Source organism: Homo sapiens, chromosome 7 (genome assembly GCF_000001405.40).
Source record: "Homo sapiens chromosome 7, GRCh38.p14 Primary Assembly".
In the NCBI taxonomy this organism is placed as follows: Eukaryota; Metazoa; Chordata; class Mammalia; order Primates; family Hominidae; genus Homo; species Homo sapiens.
Window position 1 is genome coordinate 25,300,847 of NC_000007.14, and position 4,017 is coordinate 25,304,863.

Below are 4,017 nucleotides of genomic sequence, written 5' to 3' on the forward strand. Positions count from 1 at the left end.
ATGCTTTGCAGATGCCCCTGCCTAAGAACATGAAATACTTGGGTTGGGCTTTTTCGGCTAAGAGAATGACAGGGTGTTTGGTTGAATAAGTCGGTTACCATCATTTCAATTGCATCTCAACAGCCTTTCCTGGAATAAGAGTCTGTTACAATAATAGCAAATATGTTGATTCTTCGGAAATATACAAAAAATAACTGTGACACGAGCCATCAATTTTTAGCAGTAGGTCTCTGGTGGGAAGAGAGACTATATCAGAATCATCTGTGTGGTTTTTTCTTCCTAACCTACAAGCCACTCTCCTTCCCAGAGGAAATTACATAGTATCTAGATAGGTGGCCAGAATCTCTGATGGAAGGTGGGTAGGGTGTGTTGTGTGTGTGCACACATGTGCCTGTAGTTTGAAAACACCCTACGGGTGATACTGATACCGTATCTCCTATATTGAGGACAAACAATTTACATGTTTGAATTTACAAACTCAGCAATCAAGAGGCTACTTTCTCCCGTGTGCTCTCTATAATTTGGATGGATTGCCTAATTATCTAAACAGATAGGCTTAGTTACTAAGAGTAAACTTAGTTAACTGAGAAACTAGCATTCTCAAGGATTTCCTACAATTGTATAATAAAAAATCATTACATATTAAAACATTATGGTATTCATGTCTAAGAAAATAGAACATTTAAGAAGTATTATTTAAATGATCACTGAGTAGTAGGTCCAATTGAGTCTTTATTCCCAGTCTTGATCCATTCCCATTACTGCTATAACTATCTCTACCTCTAACTTTTGTTTTGAAAATATCACCTGATTGAACCTAGAATTAAAACACTCCAGAGTGTGGAGGACTGTAAAGATACTTTAGAATTTCACACTAGGTTGGTGTCAAAAGCTTTTGAAGAGGACTTCCAAAATCTTTTGATCTTTTTCATAGCCATGGGGACTTTAACTGATTAGACTCTTAGTTAATGAAGACAGACTTATTCATTCTTTCTAGCACTCCTGATCATCCTACGCTCTAAGTGAAAGCCTGGATTTTTTTTGGTAGTTGTTTGCATCTTTTATAGCCTCCTTGCTGAAATAAGAGGAATACATTTATGTAATAACTTGAATATAAGGTCTTATAAACTCTCATGATTATCATCTTTAAGAGTTTCCATGTTCTCATATCTTACTACTCATAAGTATTTTATTTAGCTTGCATTATAAATGTAACACACAAGAAGTTTGTATTATCTGTTGTGTTTCCAATTACAAATTTAATCTGTACTAGGATTTAATTTTTACTTTTAGTTTTAAATAGATTAGAATAAGGTTTTAAACAGCAAGATAGTTTCTGGAGAAAACTGGATTTGATACTTTATCCTGGCCTTTCTTTAATTTGCAGAGTAAATACCATATTATGCTCTATAAAGTGTCACTAAAAAGGAGAATTTGTATTAAGCATCAAATATGTAGCTGAGACTATGTTAGATGCTTTTCATATGTTCACATGTATCTCTCTATTAACCTTATGAAATGTTATTATACCTTCTTTTTATAAGCCTCCTCCCCCCACCCACCGTCCGCCTTTTTTTTTTTTTTGAGACAGAGTCTTGCTCTGTTGCCCAGGCTGGAGTATAGTGGCACAATCTCAGCTCACTGCAACCTCCGCCTCCTGGGTTCGAGTGATTCTCCTGCCTCAGCCTCCTAAGTAGCACGCACACCCAGCTAATTTTTGTATTTTTAGTAGAAACAGGGTTTTGCCATGTTGGCCAGGCTGGTCTCAAACTCCTGACATCAAGTAGGAGGCCTGCCTCGGCCTCCCAAAGTGCTGGGATTACAGGCGGGAGCCACCATGCTCAGCCTCTACCTTCTTTTCAAATGAGTAACCTGAGAATCAGAGAGGCTGAGGCACTTGCTCAAGTTTCCATAGCTTTTAAATGGCTGATTCCTGTTCCTTATTATCATCATTAATGATGATAATTATTATAGCCACAATTTGTGAGTACTTTCTAGATGTCAAAAATTTACATACACCTGTATTTTATTCAGGCATCAAAGGAATTAATGTTCACATTTGATCAGTGAAAATATGAAAGATTATGGTTAAGTACATTTTCTAAGGTCACACAGCTAGTTGGTGACAGAGTGGAGTTTGAGCTTTTCATCGTTGTAAAGCAATACTTTTTTATGTATGTTTCACAAACTCTTCCTATGTTTTTACTAATGGCACTATTGTTAGAATAAGTGACTTATTTCCATGGTGATTCTCAAGGACAACATTTTTCATTCATACGATAAACTATGGCATACTTATTAAAGTCTCATTGCTTTGCAGTTGTACCTTCCACATGCTTCTGTTGTGACCTATATCCTTTGGTGATCTGGCAGTGGGTCATTTTCGTGGTGATCAAATATGTATGTATGTAAATACAAAATTGTTTGTTTTATTCATCTGCTTTCCTTCCAGTCTAAACACTGAGCTGAAATTGAGACATTGGACATGATAGTTTGTTGAAGTTTGACATTTCTGTCCAAGATTTGTTTGGCCAACCTTTGAAAGCCTGAGTTTAAACTATTCCACAAGCATCAGTCAAAACACATGAGAATCATGGGAAAGGAGGGCGCTTTTCCTGCACAGCTGCTCTGCAGAAGGGGAATTGCATGGCAAGGCATCTCCTCTTGGCCAATGTTAGGAGAGAGAGGGCTTTTCCTTCCTCAGGAGAACAGCTCCCCTTCTCTTCACATCCCTAAATAATGCAGGAATGTCACATTGCTTGCATTCCTTTGATGCTTGTCCTGACTTTGATTTTGCTCTGGTACTTGTCTGAAAACAGAGCTGTCAGCACCTTCATTTTTTTGCTCATCCTGTTTCCCAGCCAAGGATAAGTAATAATGGGTTTAAATTCCCAAGTGCCTGCATTTGGCTCTGAAATAGCAGTGGGCAATCTTTTCACCCCCACCCCTCCTATTTTAGGGTTTAAATAGAAATCTTAGCTGTGTCCTTCCCTCAGAGTTTCCTGGCTCCTAGTGGTTTCTGGGTGATGGCCAGATATGAGGACCCCACCCAGGCTATTCTCTGAATTTGAAAGTTGTCTGATCCTTCACTACCACCAACTGTCAGTGACGTACATTCCCAAGCCCTCTCTTGATCTTGCTTGCTTTCTTGCTTTTAAGATTGAGATGCTTCTGAGATGTAGAGTAATATCAGATCGCCTAACACCCTGAAAGAGAGAAACTTCAACACTCAGGGAGCTTTCATGTGTATTAGAGAAAAGAACCCAGTGGTCTGGACAGAGTTGGTGCTTTGCCAGCTAATGAAGCAGTTTCTCTTTCACAGACCTCTGAGAAATACTGGTAGGCTCTTTATGTTCTTTGAATATGGAGCCCACTGGTGACTTGATAAAGGAAATCACTTAGTTGTTGAAGAATTAAATAATGTACTAAGAGTATTTCAATTAGCAAGTATTCAATTAAAAAATAATGACGACATCCACTTATTCTATTCATTCAACAACACCTTCTTAAGTATTTACCAGGGAAGCAGGTAGAGTATTGAAGTTTAAAAACACAAACTCCAGGATGAGACAACCTGGTTTCAAATCCTGATTCTTCCATTTATGAGCTCTGTGATCTTGGGCAGATTACCTAAGCTCTCCTGACTTAGTTTACCCATTTATAAAATGGAAATAATTATAATATGTGCCTCAGAATTATTTTGAGGATTAAATATAATATGTAGGGAGCTCTTGGCATGTAGAAATGCTTTAACAACTGTTGTTGATTAAGTCACTGTGCCTGTTCCTAATTAGTTACAATTAAGGGAAGGTTCCTCCCATGAAATTTTTGATAATGTATTTAAAGAGTCAAACTATAGACACAGAACACAAAGTACAGAGTTGAGTAACAGTATGGAATCTGTCACAAAGACTAAGTATTAGTGACCTTTCATATCCCGTTCAGGTTTAAGATTCCAATAACACAGGCTGGAGGTTTCCCAGGAAGATGTGACTCTGTGCCTGTGTAGCCAGAGAA

The 4,017-nt window shown here is 37.9% G+C and overlaps 2 annotated features.

Moving 5' to 3' along the window:
* Positions 2,054 to 2,799: an enhancer, noted in NCBI's record as "OCT4-NANOG-H3K27ac hESC enhancer chr7:25342519-25343264 (GRCh37/hg19 assembly coordinates)". NCBI's record gives its function as "activates a minimal SCP1, AML or CMV promoter by ChIP-STARR-seq in naive H9 embryonic stem cells {active_cell/tissue: H9 hESC(naive)}" and the evidence as "EXISTENCE:reporter gene assay evidence [ECO:0000049][PMID:30033119]".
* Positions 2,800 to 3,545: an enhancer, noted in NCBI's record as "OCT4-NANOG-H3K27ac hESC enhancer chr7:25343265-25344010 (GRCh37/hg19 assembly coordinates)". NCBI's record gives its function as "activates a minimal SCP1, AML or CMV promoter by ChIP-STARR-seq in naive H9 embryonic stem cells {active_cell/tissue: H9 hESC(naive)}" and the evidence as "EXISTENCE:reporter gene assay evidence [ECO:0000049][PMID:30033119]".